Source organism: Homo sapiens, chromosome 15, assembly GCF_000001405.40.
Source record: "Homo sapiens chromosome 15, GRCh38.p14 Primary Assembly".
Classification (NCBI taxonomy): domain Eukaryota; kingdom Metazoa; phylum Chordata; class Mammalia; order Primates; family Hominidae; genus Homo; species Homo sapiens.
In genome coordinates, this window is record NC_000015.10 from 53695547 (window position 1) to 53715797 (window position 20251).

Below are 20251 nucleotides of genomic sequence, written 5' to 3' on the forward strand. Positions count from 1 at the left end.
CATGGGACATCCGGCAAATCAATAAGCAAAACTAGATGCCCTCATCACTCCTAACCTGGCAGCGCCACATTTTTAGCCAGAGGACGAGGGCCCTCAGTGTCACATAAACATTTCTTTACCTCAGTTGTTTGCCACTCCCAAGAGTGTGTCCACCTACGACCCCAAAATTTACCCTGTCATCCATCTCACTATGCCACCTATCACAGAAAGGAACACCCTTATCAGTCCAAGATAAAATAGGCACAGTGGTACATGACTCTAGAATATGCTTACGTATTCTGCCAAAGAGACTCGTAAGTAAAGTGAGAATAGGCTCTTATAAAGTATTCGTGAAAAACGCAAGAGGCCTCGCAAACTTTCCTCTATAATCGAGGAAGGGTGGCACAGGGACTTATGCTATACCCCATACTCCCCAAGCTCCCACCAAGGCAGACTTCTGGCAAGTTGAGAATTAATTACTTTTGGCTTCAAGCCCCTTTTCCTGCCTTTTCTTTCTAGGCCCCTTTCCTCAAAACTCTTCTCCCACTAACACCTCCTATTTTCTCTCTGTGGGCTCTGGAGTTGCTCTAGTGCTGAAAGATCTGATAAATACCTTTATGTCAATTTATTCCTCCTTCACGTAGTTAGAGGAGGCAGAGTGCTGGAGAAATGAAAGTAGGAATAGGTCTGTCCACACATGGAACTAAGTGTGAACCCTGTGGAGAGAATAGTAAAACTAAAAGGCCAAGGCCCAGGAAAAATTGACTGGAGTAGGAAATACACAGACCTTCACCTGAGGAGGTGAAATATGCCCTGTGAACTCCAAAACCCTAGGGAAGACTTGAAGCAGAAAGCTAAGGACCTGCTTACAGTTGGGCAGTCAGGATCTAAGAGCCATAACTGGCCAATGTTAAGGTGAATTAATTCATACTCAATCTACTGAGGTAAGGGCACTTGGATTAATTAGTTCACTCATTCATTTATCATTCGTGTGCCAGGCACATCCATGAGCAAGTATATTCCATACCTTCAAATAGCTCTTTTCAGCCTGTTTTGGCTTTAGTTCGTATTTTCCCCCTAGCTTTATGAAAATATAAATGGAAACACTTCCTGATCTCAGACCATTCAACCTTTGTAAGTAAAGAATAAAACAGAAATCAAGTGCAGTAAACATGATGGAAGCATCTTAGCCAGCTGAAATCTGGCTTGGAAAAGAAAACATAATTCACTAAATTGTAACCAAAATTAAAATTGCACAGATTAAAGGCAAAACACAACAAAGGCAATACCCAACACGAGAATAAAGGAACAGCATAAACTTATTCAAAAGGAATGAATGTGATATAGAAAGTTGGGCCACCAGCCACCTTCACAGGGTGTTGTAAGGCTCAAATGAGGTGGTCAATGGGATTGTGTCTAAAGAAGTGAAGAGGCACGTCACAAATGTGAAGGTCTGGGTAGAATCATTAATACTATCATCACCAATTATAAGCTCATCTTAAGATGAGTTGAGATTGTTTTTAAACTATTAATATAGACAACCAAAAGATGAACAACTTATATTCTCTAGGTTACTTTGGCACTAAACCTATGCATACTGTTTGATACGGAAATTCTAAAACAAACTTTTTATAGAAAATAGTATAGATAACCAACTATAGGAGATTCCTCAATTAAAGCCTAGTATGTCCATAATGACAACTCTATCGATTATTGTCCATGTGACAACCCACTCCGTCCTTTCCTACCCTTCTGTGTCCTTCCTTTTTTGTGCACAGGGAGGCTGATGCCCAGAACTGAATGCCCTTCCTCTCTCACTTTCAGTGGATTAAATTAATGGAGGTGACTGCAGAAGAAAAAAGAATTTCTTCCAACCCTCCCCTCTCTATGTGAGTCCTCCATCTCTGGCAGGAGCTGCTTCTTTTCTATGACTTCATGGGGTGACCATTCCTCCTGAGCTTCAACTCTCACTGGGTTCCAACAACAATGTTTTCTCCTCTTTTTGCTTCAGTCCTAGAGGTGGCCAGAGCTTCCTGATGCTGCCAGTGCCTGGGTGCTGGAGGCCCTCACCATCCATTCCTTGTCTGGTCCCTAATCCCTGCCCACACCTCTATAAATAGTCCTTTCATTCAAGTTTCTTCATTTGACCCATCTGGGTTGACTTCAGTTTCCTGCCAGGACTGTGACTGAAATACAATATAGACTAAAATACAGTAAATATCTATTTATTGACATAGAAAAATGTCTGACAGAAAGTAGATCAAAATATTAATAGCACTTATTATTATTATTTTTTTGTTTGAGACAGAGACTCGCTCTGTCGCCCAGGCTGGAATGTAGTGGCGCGATCTCCGCTCACTGCAAGCTCCGCCTCCCGGGTTCACGCCATTCTCCTGCCTCAGCCTCCCGAGTAGCTGGGACTACAGGTGCCCGCCACCATGCCCGGCTAATTTTTTTATATTTTTAGTAGACAAGAGCACTTATTAAGTAGTAGGATAGGATTATTTGTTTTTCTTTATATTTATTTTTCAAACGTTCTTCAACATTTGGTTATGTATTTGAGGGTGTATAAAAAAGAAATAACAAAATTAAAATACAGAATGGGAATAAATATAATCTCAAGAAGTACTAATGGTTTGGCTTTGCTTTACTTCCCACTCTGGCAAAGAAATACATAAATAAAAAGTTACATAGCCTAAGGGTATCCCGATGGGAAAAGGGGACCATAAACACTCGTGAGTGCCCAGATATTTATTTATTCTTGCTGGATTCTATCACCTATGAAAAATATGTTTAGTTACCAAGTGTTCACAACTGAAAATGCAATTGGGCACATTAATAAGCATATGTGATTTACAGGCTTATATTTTATAAGCAGAAGTCAAGACTTTGCTGCATTCATTGATAATAACAATAGTCAACTATTACTAAGGGCTAACCACCTGCAGGTACTGTTTATAAGCATTGTAGGTATTAGCTCATTTAATCCTGATAGGAAGGCAGTATTATTACCCCATTTCATAGATGAGGAGATTGACAAGCAAAGAAGCAATGTAATATGATCCGAGGTCCTATTAACAGGTTCTGGAGGCAAGCCCAGGCTTTAGGGCCTATTTTATCTATTATAATTAACTGTTGCTCAAATCAAGAATTCTAAAACTCCCCTAATTTTGTGTATATTGTGCAAAGAACAAGCAAGACCCTCAAACTGGTTCACCACTTATTAGTTGTACAGTCTTGTACATTTATGTATCACATCTGCAAATTCCTCATCAATAAAATGGTGAATAATACTTCTCTGACCTACCTCAGAAGTTGTGAGAATCTGATGGGAAAATGAGCAGGAAAGCCCATCAAAGCTATAAAACAATTTACAAATGTAAGGCAGTATTAGGTTGCACCCTCTAAACACTAGTACACTAGTCATCATCACTTACACATGACAGTAAAATGCAAAGAAAATAGCAATTATTTTGGTGAAGTATGGCTCTAAACTATAATATTATAAACTATCCAGTCTGTTAATAACACCCAACATAAAACCACCACTGATTAATCAATAAAAATCATGCTACAGTTTCAGTGAAATGTACTCTCAAACGAACTCCCCTGACTCACGTTCATTAATTACCTCACCTTATTTGATATGTTCCAGCATTTTCTGGAATGTATTACTCTCAATCTTTAGTTATTTAGTAATTGTTTTTTAATTTTAAAAAGTTCAAACTCTACATTCTCTATGATATGATATCAAAAGTTCAATTGAGCCACTCAGTTTTCAGTTTCCCTGACTCAACTTTTTGGAGTTTTATAATTAATTATATTCCATTATTACTGATCATCAATTAGCTCAAAATGTTGCTGAGATGGTGAGCATGCTGAAGAAAGCAGAATTTAATGATAATTTGAGACCAGTAGGACACTAAATTTCTCTCTTGTTAATAATTAAAGTAGATAACTTATGTTTTTATTTATAGCTTCCAGAAATATCCGGCTCATTCCTGTGCACTGCCCTGTCAGCTAATCATCAGTTGGTCAGGATCTGACTTAGGCCGTTGTGTTTAATTTTGCACACATGCCTTTAACTGAAGCCATTAAATGCAGCCCAAACAAAGGTTAAAGCAAGTGAGGTCATCACCGTGTCTTCTCTGAAACTTTCCATCTGGTCAAATGCTTGTACATCATAAATATATAAAGAATGAAAGGGATAAAATTTCAACTTACCTGTTTCAATTTCCCAGATATAAACTGAGTCATCTGCACATCCAACAATTAAAAAATTCTCAACCGGGTGCCATTTTATCATCCTCACAGGAAAAAGGTGCTTCCGGGCATGCAGGAGGCAACTCTTTCCCTCAAGGTGAAGGAGAGCCACGGAATGGTCACCGCACACACAGCAAATTATCTGCTCACCCCTTAGCTGTGAAAAAACAACATGCTTATGTAAGTAAATAGTCAAATGCTTTCTTTATGAGTAAGTCAGATTTTTTTCTCCCAGTAACATAAAAAAGTTTTGTTAAAGCCCCATTTACAAAAATGATATTTCTGCTTTCTACAGCACCTTTCATGTAACCCTCTACAGAGGAGCTTTAAACACAGAGTGGAGTCTAAGCTCAACAACTTCACAGGAAGGTCAAAAGATGAATCCAGGACAGATCTACTTATAAGATAAATGAAGGACTTGACCATCACTCAGCAAATTCAGGCAGCGAGGCAGACATCGGAAATAATGCAGAATAAAATAAACCCCAGAACTAATTTGTTGCCACAAAAAGAAGCTATTTGTAGACACAAGCTTAGGCCCAAGGGTATCATGAGCTGATATTTTCCACTTAAAGCCTCAAAATGTGATTTGGTGCTGTTCCCAGAACTATACAGGTTCTAATCCAAACAGGAAACTCAGTGTAGACACAGTCTAAAAGAGGTAAGCATTAGATAGCTCCAACTGAATGTACAGCCTCAAAGACATAAGGACCAAAAATAGGCTCCCAGGACAACAATCCTTAAGATACTTTTTAAGAAGTCAGCATGTGGTTACCTTGAACAGGTTACGACAATTACTATCCAAGGTGGATTCTAATGATCTAGCCAGAAATTTGGCTGTTTTGTTTAAAGCATCAGTTTGGAGACCTTGAGACACCCATTACTCATCATTAACCTCTCTGGAGGCGGGGATGCAGGGAGGATTGGGATACATGTTTTCTTTCCTAATTCTTTATTAAGTGCACTCCAGAAATCGTAAGGAAAAAAAAAATCACAAAATGGCAGGTGTGATAGATCTGGAGCCTAGACTTGCAGAACGGATCATATGTCATTTTTCCCTAACCATTCTATTTCCTGGAGAACCTGCCCATCCCACGGCTTCTAGAACAGGCAGCCCAACGTGCTCCAGGAAACTTACATACATACACACACATACCGTGTGAACACAAATCTTATGGTCAGGAATAGACTATGGAGAAATAATGTTTATAAGCCAATTAACTGACTTAAAAAATCATTTTACCTGTGTTACCATGTCCTTTTACTACAGAGGAAACTCAAAAGTTGGTTGTTCATGTTTTTTTTAAGTCAACTTTACAAAAGCTGAATTTAAGTTGACATTTCATGAGAAAATTCTACCTAAAGCGATTTCATTTTGCCCATAACAAGGTAGATGCTCACAAACTTATTAAAGCTCATTCTCTGTTAAATAAATGAATAAGCAAATAAAAACCCATTTAAGAAGAAAATGTGCTGGGCACAATAGCTGATGCCTGTAATCCCAGCACTTTGGGAGGCAGAGGTGGGAAGATTCCTTGCACCCAGGAGTTGGAGACCAGCCTGGGCAACAAAGCAAGATCCTGTTTCTACAAAAACAAAAATAAAAAACAGTAGCTGGACTACATGCCTGTAGTCCCAGCTACTTGGGAGGCTGAGGCAGGAGGATCCCTGGAGCCCAGGAGGTTGAGGCTGCAGTGAGCCATGATCACGCCACTGTACTCCAGCCTGGATGACAAAGTGAGACCCTGTCTCTCTCTCTCTCTCTCTCTCTCACACACACACACACACACACACACACACACACACAGAAGACAAATGTAACTATTTATCAATATTATTATAAAAAGAAATTCTTGACAAGGTCTTGCTCTGTTGCCCAGGCTGGAATGCAGTAGCATGATCTCAGCTCATTGCAAAATGGAAGTTATTGAAGGCAAAAGTTAATTTCTAATTTATAGATTCCTATATTGTTTGACTTGTTTTTGCCTTGAGTATCTACTTTTTTAAAAAAAAGATAATTCCATTAAAAATGAAGATATAGAATGAGAGGAAAAAAATAGATGTAAGTACTTGAAGAGAATTAAGTGGTTGTTGTAAAGCTAAGCATTGACTAAATCTTTGCTTTAGAGCCAAATTATCCGTCTAATGTAAGTTATAATAATACTACAATTCATATAGAAAGATTAGAAATAAATATATATGAATCATCCAGTTGTATTATAAGTACATAGAACTCATGTTTTTCTTTTCTTTGGAAATATGGGTCATTTTTACTTGTCTTATTAAGTATTCTATAATTTATATAATTTTCAAATTTAGATGTTATATTTTACTCTTCGTCTTACTTTAAACTTCTCTGGTGACATCAAAAGACTTGTTACTGGACCAGCTTCCAAAAAGAATTTATGCAAAATTTCTTCAGTAAAGATATCCCACAAGATCACACATGAGTCCAGGTCCCCAGACAACATCCAACTTTGGTCTAATTTCGAAGAGAGACCATGTGGATAGAGTAATGAAGTGACACTTTGGTGGTGGCCTTTAAGAACTTTATGAGGGGGAGAATCTGAAAAACAATGAAACACCAAATAATACAGATGTTATTTTTGTTCAGAAAATCGTCCCAAGATTCTCTTCTATAAAATTTTAACATAAGGAAATTACATATAATTAAAGCATGCACTTGGCTAAGAAAACTAGTGAACATCCTTAGATCATCTTGAAAAACAAGTGCCTCACCAGAAGCCAGAGTATGCTTTTGATGAAGCACTACAGTTAGTTGTTCAAAGTCTATTAATTCTAGGCCAGGCATGGTGGCTCATGCCTGTAATATCAGCAGTTTGGGAGGCCAGGATGGGCAGATCGCTTGAGGTCAGGGGTTCAAGACCAGCCTGGCCAACATGGTGAAACCCCATCTCTACTAAAAATACAAAAATTAGCTAGGTGTGGTAGCTCGCACCTATAGTCCCAGCTACAAAGTCTATTAATTCTTAAGGACATTAGTAAGCTACCAATTCCAGCGTCACTGAATAGTAAACACTGCTCTAAAAGAGTGAATACTTCGTACATTTACCTCCACAAAAATAAATTCAGAATATTACTTATTTTCATTCATTTTTTTTTTTTTTTGAGACAGGGTCTCACTCTGTTGACCAGGCTAGAGTACAGTGGTACAATCATGGCACCATAAGACAAAACTTCTATTCCTCAAGTTCCCTGGGCTCGGATGATCCTTCCACCTCAGCCTCCCTAGTAGCTGGGTCCACAGGTGAGCGCCACCATGCCCAGCTAATTTTTGTTTTTTTTGCAGGGACAGGGTGTCACCATAATGCTCACACTGGTCTCAAACTCCTGGGCTCAAGGGATCCACTTGCCTCAGCCTTCCAAAGTGCTGGGATTACAGGCGGTAGCCACCGCGCCCAGCCCGTCATTCTTTAAATTAGAATGACTAAGTCTAGTATACAAGAAAATAAAAGTTTCAGGAAATATTTTTGCTTTGAAAGATGTTAGACATTACCTAATTCTACCTCTTGGCTTTACAGATAAAGCATCTGAGGCTCAGAGAGGTTAAGTGACTTGCATCCAAGTGTGAAAAAGCAAAGCAAAATGTTTAAGAGTACAGCATTGCTGTTAAATTAATCTGCCTTTTCTCCCTGGGTCTATCACTTACTAGATATGTCACCACATCTAGTTGCCTTTTCCCTCTTAACCACAGATGTTACATCTGAAAATTTAGGATAATAATATTCCTTACTTCGGACAAGACTGTTGTGTGGAATAAATAAGATAATGTCTATAATTTTGTAGCACTCTGCTTGGCACTTGGTAGGCATATGGGCATTTCAAATCACAGCTGTATGAGAGCACAGGACTACTGACACACTACTGTGCTAGGGGGTTACTCTTCCCACTAACCACACTGCTTCTTCCTTCATCATTAGCTAAACTCCCCCAAACTGGAAAGAACCATAAACCACAAACTCTCTTTATTCAAAATGAAAATAAACATCAAATTATTATTATACTTCGGAAACTTCTATTCCTTCAGGCATATCCTCACTTTTTATCTCCTAACCCACCTGGATGAATGTTCATTGAGGTGCTACAAGTCAAATATGGCTTTTTCTTGCTTTCTGGATATTAGGGTAAATCAGCCTAGATAAAAACTGCTAGGTCTTTGCTTTTTCACTAACTTTTAATGGCAGCCATTTAGCTGTATACCAGTACATTACCTCTCTTTGGTTCATTGCCATTTACTCCTCCACTTCAGTCAATCACTGAAGCACAAGTCAGTAACATTTAGTAAGTGGCCAAAGATATATACTCACACATCTGTACAGATATGCTCACATATATGTACAATAATAATCAATTCTGCATTGTCCATAGTAGCTAAAAACTAGAAAACCTACATGCCAATTAATAGGCAATTAAAGTTCAATTATTACTAATTATTTAAAGTCAGCTCATAAAGAATGAACTCCACAATATTTTAATTAGATTTGTTTAAGGACATTTGAGTAAAGCATGTAGAATACATTTTTATTTGTGCAATATAATTAAAAGACTGTATGTTGTTATGCTGATATGTGCTTGTACACACATAGAAAATTTCAAGAAGAGTATAAATAAACTGTTATTAGCAGTTGCCTTTGGAGAAAGAACTGGAAGATCAAGTAAGGAGAAAAAATCATTTCTTATTGTGTAGCCTTCTGCTTGAGTTTTTTTTGTTTTTGGTTTTGGTTTTTTTTGAGATGGAGTGGAGTCTTGCCCTGTTGCCCAGGCTGGAGTGCAGTGGCGTGATCTCAGCTCACTGCAAGCTCTGCTCCCAGGTTCACGCCATTCTCCTGCCTCAGCCTCCCAAGTAGCTGGGACTACAGGTGCCCGCCACCATGCCCAGCTTTTTTTTTTTTTTTTGTATTTTTAGTAGAAATGGGGTTTCACCGTGTTAGCCAGGATGGTCTCGATCTCCTGACCTCGTGATCCGCCCGCCTTGGCCTCCCAAAGTGCTAGGATTACAGGGAGTTTAAAAAAAAAAAAAAAACCTATATGTATGTTTTACTTTAACATTAAAATATGTACATATTTATCAGCAAATGCCAGCAAATTATTTAGGCCTCTAAATCTTGTTTAGTGCAGTCTGTTGAAATTGCAGCTTTAGATAAATCAAATAAATAGGGTCAAATAAAATTCAAGGACCTTTTACTAAAGAACCACCTTCCAGAAGTCTTGCTTTGGCAGCATTCAAAGCCTGGGTAATGATAATTGTCCCATCTTCACAGCCACATATTAGTTTATCAAGACTTGGAATATACTCTGATGAAGTGACTACAGCAGTTCCTGCCCCATCTTTAAGCCCAGAGAAATAGTCAATAATACTTTGTGACATAGTATCATGCTTATCAAAATTATCTTGAAGAGTCCAGGTGGCAGTTACTGGTATCTCTAAAAAGAAAACAGACATAAAAAGAAAATTTGGTTTATCAGTACATCATAGACATGGAAAATATCAAGGCACCCTCCCTTCAAAAATATGAATACAGTGTTACAGCCTATCCCAGATTCATATTGCCAGCATTCATCTCTTGGGAAGTTCAATTGATGTTAACATGAATTATATTGGTTATATTAGTATATAAGATCCATAACCTTTGTGTGTGTGTGTTTTTAATTAAAAAAAAATTTTTTTTTTGAGACCAAGTCTCACTGTGTCACCCAGGCTGGAGTGCAGTGGCATGATCTCGGCTCACCGCAACCTCCACCTCCTGGGTTTAAGCAATTCACCTGCCTCAGCCTCCTGAGTAGCTGGGATTACAGGTGCATGCTGCCATGCCTGGCTAATTTTTTGTATTTTAGTAGAGACGGGGTTTCACCGTGTTGCCCAGGCTGGTCTCGAAGTCCTTTGCTCAGGCAATCCACCCACCTCAGCTTCCCAAAGTGCTAGGATTACAGGCATGAGCCACTGTGCCCCGCCTAAGCTTTGTGTTTATACCTGCTTTCATGTTGTCATTTAATACGTAGTAGTACACAATAAATTTTTCTTGTTTGTGGTCCCATGCTGCTCAACTTAGAAGAACAATGAATTAATTACAAATTCATTCTCAGAAGACATGTTACTAGAAAAGGAAACTGACTTACCTCTAGGAGAACCATCAAACTTGGATACAGGAACATCAGGGATGTGCCACAAAGTAATTCTTCCTGAGACTTCTCCAGAGAAAAGTACCTTGTAAAAAGGCTCTTTCCTTTCATTCATGTAGCCCATAACAAAGGGACGGCTCTGTTCCTAAACAAAAAGTGAGCTTTTATGTAGGAAATATTCTAACTAGAGAGAGATGGCCACTGTTTTTAAATGGAGAAACAAGACTTAATAACTGAATAAATCTTTTCAATTTATTTCCCACTCTTTTGACATTTTCAAGTAAATTAAATGAAATAATCTGTGATCTAGGACTAAAGAGGCTTTATAAAACAAGAAGCAAAGTCATAGACCTCAGAAAGTCAATAAAAGTATCTAACATTTACTGACCATGTTATATGTGCGTGTGTGTGTGTGTGTGTGTATATATATATATATATATATATATATATATATATATATATATATGGCTATGTGTACACATTACTGCAAGGGGCTTTCTACATATTCAGTTAAATAATCCTCACAATAACCCTATAAAATTGGTACTATCATTGTTTTCATTTTACAGACAAGAAAACTTGGAATGAAGAGATTGATTTGTCTAAGGCGATTAGAAGAAGCAATGGGCTTTGAGTCCAGTCATTGTGATTCAGCAACCCATGTCTTGATGCTAAAGATGTCCACTGAGAAGGCTTAATTTCTTTACAGTTCCTTTATAGTTCTAATTGTCAGTTAAAACAGCAACAAGTAACATTTGTATAGTAATTTTGTTATTAATATGTTTTCTACATTTTGTTGACTATTTTCAGATTGAACATACTTGATTTCTGATTTCTCAAGTGGCCACAAAGGAAAATGATTCCATAATTTATAATGGTGTGTATATACATATATAATGTTATACATTATATAAATTATGTATAATATTGTACATTGTATCTAAATTATATATAACTTATGATCTTGCTGAAGCAGAATATGAATATTGGGCACCAGCGTTTTTAAAGCTATGCCTTCACTCATGAATGCATTTAGAGCATCCCTAGTCCTTCTCAGGGCAGTATAGCTGTTCTTCGGGCAGGTTTGTATATAGAGATTATGCATAAGGGATCAAAATCATTTAAGCGATTACAAAAACAAAACCCAAACTCTCTTTGGCGCAGAAATAAAAGTCATCCTAAAAAGAAAGCCAACTGCTGGTGCTAGAATTAAAGAAGTTCAGGAAAGTGATGCTTCCTAGTCAGAAAATACATGCTTTAAGGTCTGGATTTAGACACATTAGTGAAAAATTCTATTCATTAGTGATTATTAAAGGCCACGATATTGCTACATTTAATCTTCACAACAAAGCTATGTAGTAAGTAAACATTGCTATTATCCTGATATGAAAATAGGGAAACTATCACAGAAAATAAGAAACCAATCCAAGGTCATCCAACCAAGACGTATAATTAATTCCCTATAGTCCCAAGAAATAAGAGCATCACAGAAAATGGTTCCAATAAAGTCAGTTTCTAAATGAATTTTTTTTTTTGAGACAGAGTCTCGCTCTGTTGCCCAGGCTGGAGTGCAGGGGCATGATCTCGGCTCACTGCAAGCTCTGCCTCCAGGGTTCACACCATTCTCCTGCCTCAGCCTCCCGAGTAGCTGGGACTACAGGCGCCCGCCACCACGCCCGGCTAATTTTTTGTATTTTTAGTAGAGATGGGGTTTCACCGTGTTAGCCAGGATGGTCTCAATCTCCTGACCTCCTGATCCACCCACCTCGGCCTCCCAAAGTGCTGGGATTACAGGCATGAGCCACTGCGCCCGGCCAATAAATTTTTTTAAGACTCAGAGGGCACTTTGGTGTCTTACAGCCATGATTTTTATAGCTATTTGAAATGGTGTTGATAACATTTGGTTAAATTGGCTACTCAAACTCTCCCACCCTTGTATGCACTTAGAACTGATTGTTCCAACTCCCTGGTTATTCTGATTTGAAAAGGAAGCTCCAAGAGGCTGCTGGGTTACTCGAGTTGGTGGCAGCACAACTCCTCCCAGCTGGTGCTTTGCCTCTGGCAGCTGAAGTTCCCTGTTGCTCTCATCCCCTCTGCCTTCACCTTCCACATTGCTGCTTCTCACTTGCTCACACTCACCGCTTGGTCCCTCGCTCCTCCTCCTCCCAAACAGTTCCCTCTAGTTCTGCTATTCACCTGAAAACTTCTTCATAGTCCCTTACCATGTGAATTCCGATTTTTCATCACTGTGTCCATCATAAGAGTCTCCACCACCCAGGAGGTAATAAAACATAGCCATTAGCACTGAAATCCCTGGGGCTAACTGCCTGGATTTAAATCCTGGCTTTACCACATCCTAGCTCTATTGAAAGAGCAAGTTGGTTACTGTAGGCAATTTAGTGCACCTCACTGTCTCATTTTCCCTAACTGTGAAATAAGACTAATAAAAGCACCCGCTATATGGGATTGGTGTGAGGATTAATGAGTAGATAAAGATAAGGTGCACAGGATGGTCCCTGACATTTAGTCCCTATTCAATTAATTTTAACAATTCTGGTAATTCTTTTCTCAGAACAATTAAGAAACTCACTCCAAAACCCATTACTGGATTTGGGCTAAACCACTTGAATTCAAATCCTGGGAATTCACCTCTCTGAACATCAGTTTCAACATGGGATCTTGGTGGCAACTAAAGTAAATGAGGTTGTTTGTATGTTTGACAATAATAAGGACTCAAATGAAGTTTTTGTCATCATCATCACCATCATCATCATCACCATTACTCTTAGTTCATGCACACACATTTTTTATTTGCAATTCTTAGGCTGTTTCTATCCCAGCTATTCCCACTTCAGCACAGCAGTCTTACTCTGTGGCTGAGACCCTGGGAAAACCAGTTCCTTGTCTCAATAGCCAGGACCCCTGCACCACAGGCCTCAGCAATTACCAGCTGTGATTTGAAGCTAGGGAGATCCTCATGCAGCTGCTGGAAGGAAAGACGAATCCTCATTCTTACCACTGTAACTCCATCAGCAGATATGTACATGGGCATTACAAACAATAACTGAGAACCTGTTACTGTCAAACCTGGAGATTTAATTCTATGGTATTACTCCAAAAAATGAGTTCAGACAATAGTACCTGCTTACAGAGCAGTCTTTTCTAAGCTCACTGAATGTATCAAATTCATCTCTTCATCCTACCACAATGCCTTCATTACTTGGTAACTGCAAGAGAGACTAAGGACTCTTACATTTAGTGAACACTAGTGATGTTTGAATAAGGGGAAGAAAGTCTGACTTTATGCCCTGGATAAAAGGCAAGTAAGGACAGGCAGACCAGCTTTTTCCAGTTTCCAATTATTCTATTCATATTTCACTGGCTTCTAGGCTTTCTCGCTTTTAAGATACAGAAACATCTATGGTTGTTTAAACAAGAATTACTGGTAAAAGACCTATAAGCTTATGTCTTCACATTTTGAGAAACAAAGCAAGGTAACTTCCCATGAGATTAGTTATTTTTTAATTGTTGTATTCTTTCCTCATGGTTATACATAACATTGAAATTTTCAGGAACAAGAAGCCCCTAAAGGGCACAACTGATCATTGGCTTTCAGGGCAAACTGTGCTTTGTAAAAATGCATTCAAAGCTAAGGAGGAAAGACCAGATCCTTTAAAAAATAACTGAATATGCTTTTCTGAGTAAGCCCCAATACTGTTTTTGTGATCGACAGCAAAACAGGAACCTATTACTGCCCACAAATAATTTTAGAAATAGTGGTTGATGCATGCCGTAATTATAAAGTTTGCTTGTGTCCCAGTGGCACTTGGGGTTCTAATTTTTGGCTGACAGTTTCTTAATCAAGTTTTCACAACAAAACCTCACAGATATGTTAAAGGGACAATCACTGAACTATAGGATTTCCAACAGCTATGCTGCCTAATTAAGCAAACCATCATTCTGTTAAAAGTAGCATGCTTCCTTGGTTGACACATCAATAATTCAAAACTCTTCCACTCTCCATGAAATAACGTTTATGGATAATTAACTGATGACAAAGTCCAAAGGCTCAGGGAAAAGAAACACTTTGGATAACACTACTGAAAGAAAACAACTGCTTAAATTTTCAGGCTTCCTAGAATGTCAGAGGTATGATTCAGTCAAGTAATAAGCTCACATTTATATTCTCAACTCTCTGCCAAAAGCATAATTATATTTGTTTTAACAAGAAAATTTATTCGTAAGAATAGCTAAATACATCTGAAAATGATATCAATATATGATTAAAGAAACAGAACATAAAACATTTCATAAAGTTTAAAAATTGGAGTAGATACGTAAAAATGTTAACAATGTTTTGTCACACCATTTATCACAAGGGTCAGTGAAAAAATGTGTGGTGTGTGTGTATGTGTTTGTACGTATACACACACACACACACAAATGCAGAGAGAGAGACAGAGAATGAGAAAGTAAATATAGCAAAATGTTAGCAATTGGTGAATCTAAGTAAAACGTATATGAATAATTACTACACTACTCTTGAAACTTTTCCAATTATTTGAAAATTTTCCAATCAAAATAGGTAAATACATACAACAAAGTAAAAAAAAATCTCAGTGAATATGTACTGCGGTGAAATTAGGAATTTTAATTTCTCCTTTCTTTTTAACATTTATAATTTTCCTATAATAAATACATATTGTTTCATTATAAACTTAAAATACAGACTTAAACATAGCAGATTTTTAAAGACAAAGTTTTCTCTTTGGTAGCCATTGATAATTAAACTTGATTTTCTCATTAACAACTTGATGGGATGCTTCAATTCAATTTTTTCAAGCCTGATTCTGTGACAGACAAAGCAACACTTATCCAAGAAACTGAGTGAAACAGCTTTGAGGCAGTCACTCTTTTCTTGCATTACCTTATTTTCCTGCACAGAAGTAGAGCACAGTAAATGAGGATAAATGGTCTCTTTAAGCACTCTTCCATCAGCAGGGTATATGCTTTTTGAAAGCCCACTGCGTGGCAAAAATAAAAAGCAAAGTTTAGAACTTTGAGGTTCTTTATTCGTTTTTTTTCCCCCTCCCACTTTCAAAAGCCGGATGGTACCGTTCAAGTTTCTAAACTCTAGTTAGAAATTGTTGGGTTAATAATTACAAGTGACTTTTTGAAAACCCAGCACCAGCTGTACAAGTTATACATGGTTAATCTCATTCCTCCATCCCCTGCTGTTTTGTACAAAGGCTGAAGCCTACCAAGCCCAGAGTAAATCTTCTAGTGCCAAAGTTGTTTTGTTCTGGTTTTTGATCATGGGCAGCATGCAGGGATTTTTCCATAATAAACCTCCCAAAGTTCATTTTCTACCTGAATGTTTTGTATGCCGCTCCCATCTGAGCCCACCTGTTCAGCAGCTGATAGATGTAACTGTGACCATCTTCTGTCCAGATGAGGATTCTGTGAGCAGCAATCACTTCTCCACCAGCAAAGAACTGCCCATTTCTACTAACTTCAGTCAGCAGAAGGGAAAAATCACAATAATCATAAACCTAAAATATGAAGTTGATGCACATTATCAAAGGCTTAAATCTAGTCTGCCAATAAGATGAATATAAATTATGATAGTAATAATATAACAACATAGTAAGCGTTAATAACAGACCATACTGTACTCTCATATTAAGATGATATTTTACCATGACTTATTGACTTATATTTATCTTAGGGTAGGTTTCAGGGGATACAGTTCATCTGGTTATATCATTCCAGAGTGTGTACACTAAACATAGAAACCCCAAATCCCAAAATTTCTAAGTAATTTTATTCTTTCCATAATGAGTACTCCAAGTTTTACATTTGAAAATGTATTATGCACATAAAAAATATATATCACGTAAATCTTTTGCTAGACCATATACTTTTAAATCTTTGTTCAAAAATACATTATCACCACACAAGTAAGACTGTATAGTTTTGTTAACTGAGCCAGTTATAAAAAACTTTAAAGAAAAATAAATGTTATGAAATGATGGCAACTTAGCTTTTCTTTCTTCTTGGAAATGTCAGCGAACATATTCACAAGAAAATAACGTTTGTCCCTCTTAAAACAAATGTAGTGACAAAGTAGAAAAAGTAAAACATCTAAAAATATAATCAAACTATGTAGGTGAAAAGTATATTTTTAGTTCTGAAATGTAAACACCAAATTTTGAAAACAATTTAGAGCTAAATATTCATTGTTATTATGGTTTGTTACTAAAATTAGGATATGCTACTACATATATAATATCTTGGGATACAAAACTGTTGCATATACCATGATATTAAATATGTAGTAGTATATCCTAATTTTATTAATTAGAGAGTTAAAAACTGATATGTCAGGCCGTGTCCAGTGGCTCACGCCTGTAATCCCAGCACTTTGGGAGTCTGAGGTGGGCAGATCACGAGGTCAGGAGTTTGAGATCGGCCTGACCAACATGGTGAAACCCGGTCTCTCCTAAAAATACAAAACTTAGCCGGGCATGGTGGCATGCGCCTATAATCCCAGCTACTAGGAGGCTGAGGCAGGAGAACTGCTTGAACCTGGGGGGTGGAGGTTGCAGTGAGCTGAGATCGTGCCGCTGCACTCCAGCCTGGGAAACAGAGTGAGACTGTCAACCACCCCACCGCCAAAAAAAAAAACTGTTACGTCAGTCATAAAAGACACATCATTCCATGTTCTGGTAATACTATTACAGAGAATTTGTATCATATTTAAATCATATTCTTATTTTTGTACAAAACAAAAAAAATTACACTTGTACATCACTGGTATTTATTATGTTACTTTATAATACCTTCCAACATTTAGAAAATACCACCAATAGAAGTCTCTCAGTATATGTGCAAAATCGAATTGTCTGGCAGTTCAAGGACTCAAGAAACTTGGATTCTTTTTCATAGACATCTTGCTTTTCCTTCAAAAGGAAAGAAAATCTTTTAGTACTAGTTCCAGGTAATTCATACACAGCCATGAGAAGACCTGCTTCCCGTACATCTCAAGTAGATCACACCATTATAAAACGAAAAGTATCTGAGTTACCTTTTGAGTGTTTTGAACTAAGAAGTTACTTGGCAATAGAAGCTGTGTACCTGGGTGATGAAATAATCTGTACACCCAACCCCCACAACACTTAATTTACCTGTATAACAAACCTGCGTATGTACTCCTGAAAGTTTAAAAAAAAAAAAATTAAAAAATATAGGATGTATTTCTTGAAAAAAAAAAAAAGCTGTGATCAGGAAATCCACTTAGATTCAAGGGCTCATTACATGCAACCATTCAACAAACATTCTTTGGGGAACTACGGCTGGATGCTGAGAATGTCAAGATGAGAATAAGCTACAGACTGTTAGATATGGCAGAAAGGTCAAACAAAAAAATCTAAAATGATGACTAAAAAAACCTACAGTATTTTATTTTATTTTATTTTGTTGTATTTTATTTTATTTTATTTTATTTTATTTTATTTTATTTTATTTTATTTTTTCCTTGAGACACAGTCTTGCTGTGTCGCCAAGGATGGAGTGCAGTGGCAGGATCTCGGCTCACTGCAACCCCCGCCTCCCGGGTTCAAACGATTCTCCTGCCTCAGCCTCCTGAGTAGCTAGGATTACAGGTGCACTCCACCACTCCCTGCTAAATTTTTTTTTTTGTATTTTTAGTAGAGACGAGGTTTCACCATGTTGGACAGGCTAGTCTTGAACTCCTGACCTCTGGTGATCCGCTCGCCTTAGCCTCCCAAAGTGCTGGGATTACAGGCGTGAGCCACTGTGCATGGCCTAGTATTTTGATTGCTTAAACAGAAAAAAAATGAACAAAGTGCCAACACACAGCACATAGAATAGTACGTTCTCAATAAGTTTGTGAAAATGCTGGATGTGTATTTCTTAAGCTCAGCATACCATCACAATTCCTAGGCTTCCTCAACCAATAAATTCCTAAAAAGACCCCAGAACTCCTTGGGGAAGCCTAAATAATTTTGTCATCAACACACATAGTATGGCTGTTCTTTTGTCCATCATCTCAACTTGTAGCCTGATGCCAGTGAATAGATGAATATACTGGACTCCCCAGGGACATGCCCCTCAAGTTTTTAGGGTCATTTGCTTGCCACTGTTCACATATACTCAGAAAAAAGGGGGATTTCCTCTGTAACGAACAGAGAGATGTTCTATTTTTTAAAAGATTAAAAATGTAATCTTTCTGTGTGTGTGTGTGTGTGTGTGTAAATGAAAACATTTGTATATACATGGAGAAAAGGTTGGAAGGATACAAGCCAAGTGTACCAAGGCTCACCCCTGGGAAGATGGATGGGGGAAATATATGGAAGTAGAATTTATACACTTCTATGTTATTTGAACTTTTGACAATAAACATGTAATAGCCTTAAAATTTATAAATTTTAATGAATATGCTTGAAATTGTAAGGAAAAAAGAGTAGGGTTCCCAAGCCAACCTGAATGCTGTTGATAGATGAGGAAAGATCCCATACTTTGAGCTCACCAGCTACTGATACCACCAAGAGAGAATCTTCTGTGAAAATAATAAAAGTCACATATAAGCTTACCATGGATATAATTGGGTAGGTAAAAATCATTTCACAGTCATTTAAGAATTACGCAGGGCTGTGTAGATAGAAAATTTTCAGCTTTGGAGTTACTTTTTAACTAGAAAAAATAAACATTTTACATCGTGCTCCAAATCTGTTTTAAAATTTCAAAGTGATTCCTAGGTATAAGAAGAGCACCACTAGAAGCAGAACCACATTGCAAATCATCATAAAATGAAACCTTCCTATTTCGGAAGTAAGTGAGGCGCCAACTTCCACTTCCCTTTGCAGTCACTCATTACAGAAACTGAATTATCAATACTACATCTAGAAGATACAGCAGGGCAAAATTCCAGGAGTCCTGCTAATCCACAACAAAACCTGCTTGTCACTCTTAAAATGTAACAAGCAGAACTTGGTTATAAAAACACAAATTCTCCTCTTTCCCCCTCATCTTAACCTTTTGCTGACTTTCCAATGTTTTGAACCACTGGCATGGGTGTTCTTAGTTTTTCTTGATCAGGTGTATTACAGACATATCCTCATTAACAGGTAAGCATAAAGAAGCATTCTTTCTGAATTTCTGCCCAATAATTTGACAAATAATTCAAAAGTAGATATTTTTATATGCAATCTCTCTACTGTCAGATAATATCCAACTATTACCTTGAATTCTCATGGAGTGAACAATGCACATGCAGTTGATCCAGTCAGGAAACTGAGATGATCTAAAACTGTGAACAACAGCCAAAGTTTTGGCATCAATTATAAGGACATCTTGATATTCTCCACAACAAAGAAGCCAGCCTTCTCCTGTCATCCGGAATGAGCAGTGGTAATACTACGTACATGGAAAGCAAAGCAAACATTTAATTATCACTAAAATTAACATAATTTGGCTACATTGAAGATTTCTCTAGACTTTAGTTTTAGCATATGATCAATTAAGGTATTGAACTGAATAGCAACTAAAATTTCTCTTAGTTCAGTTATTCCAAACTCCTATTGGCACTTTAGTCTCATTTGCATCTCATGATTTTTCTAGGGAAAGAGAGATCGCTTGGAAGAAGTAATTTTATTCTAAATCATGGAAAGCTCACAATTATATTATTTCTGGAGTGCAACTTGGAACTAAACAACAACAACAGGACCAGGCACAGTGGTTCATGCCTATAATCCCAGTGCTTTGGGAGGAGGCTATGGTGGGAAGACCACTTGAGGCCAGGAATTTGAGGTTGCCGTTAGCACCACTGTACTTCAGCCTGGGTGAC

General features: G+C 37.6%; 1 protein-coding gene across 8 annotated transcripts in view; it reads right to left on the reverse strand.

The window, feature by feature from the left end:
* The window catches only part of WDR72 (WD repeat domain 72), a 249138-nt gene that overhangs the window by 181806 nt on the left and 47081 nt on the right, over window positions 1-20251 (reverse strand). For 6 of the 8 annotated variants that reach the window (NR_102334.2, NM_182758.4, XM_047432344.1 and 3 more), the window contains 9 exons: window positions 19647-19821; window positions 18888-18964; window positions 17226-17345; window positions 15790-15935; window positions 15311-15407; window positions 10381-10528; window positions 9442-9687; window positions 6588-6808; window positions 4204-4399 (listed from right to left, as the gene is read on the reverse strand). Coding sequence is in view for 7 of the 8 variants with exons in the window: in NM_182758.4 (NP_877435.3) it covers window positions 4204-4399; window positions 6588-6808; window positions 9442-9687; window positions 10381-10528; window positions 15311-15407; window positions 15790-15935; window positions 17226-17345; window positions 18888-18964; window positions 19647-19821 (1426 nt within the window). In the remaining variant the exon portion in view is untranslated. The remainder of the gene's footprint in view (window positions 1-4203; window positions 4400-6587; window positions 6809-9441; window positions 9688-10380; window positions 10529-15310; window positions 15408-15789; window positions 15936-17225; window positions 17346-18887; window positions 18965-19646; window positions 19822-20251) is intronic. The other 2 variants (XM_011521436.3, XM_047432345.1) reach the window with 2 other exon arrangements.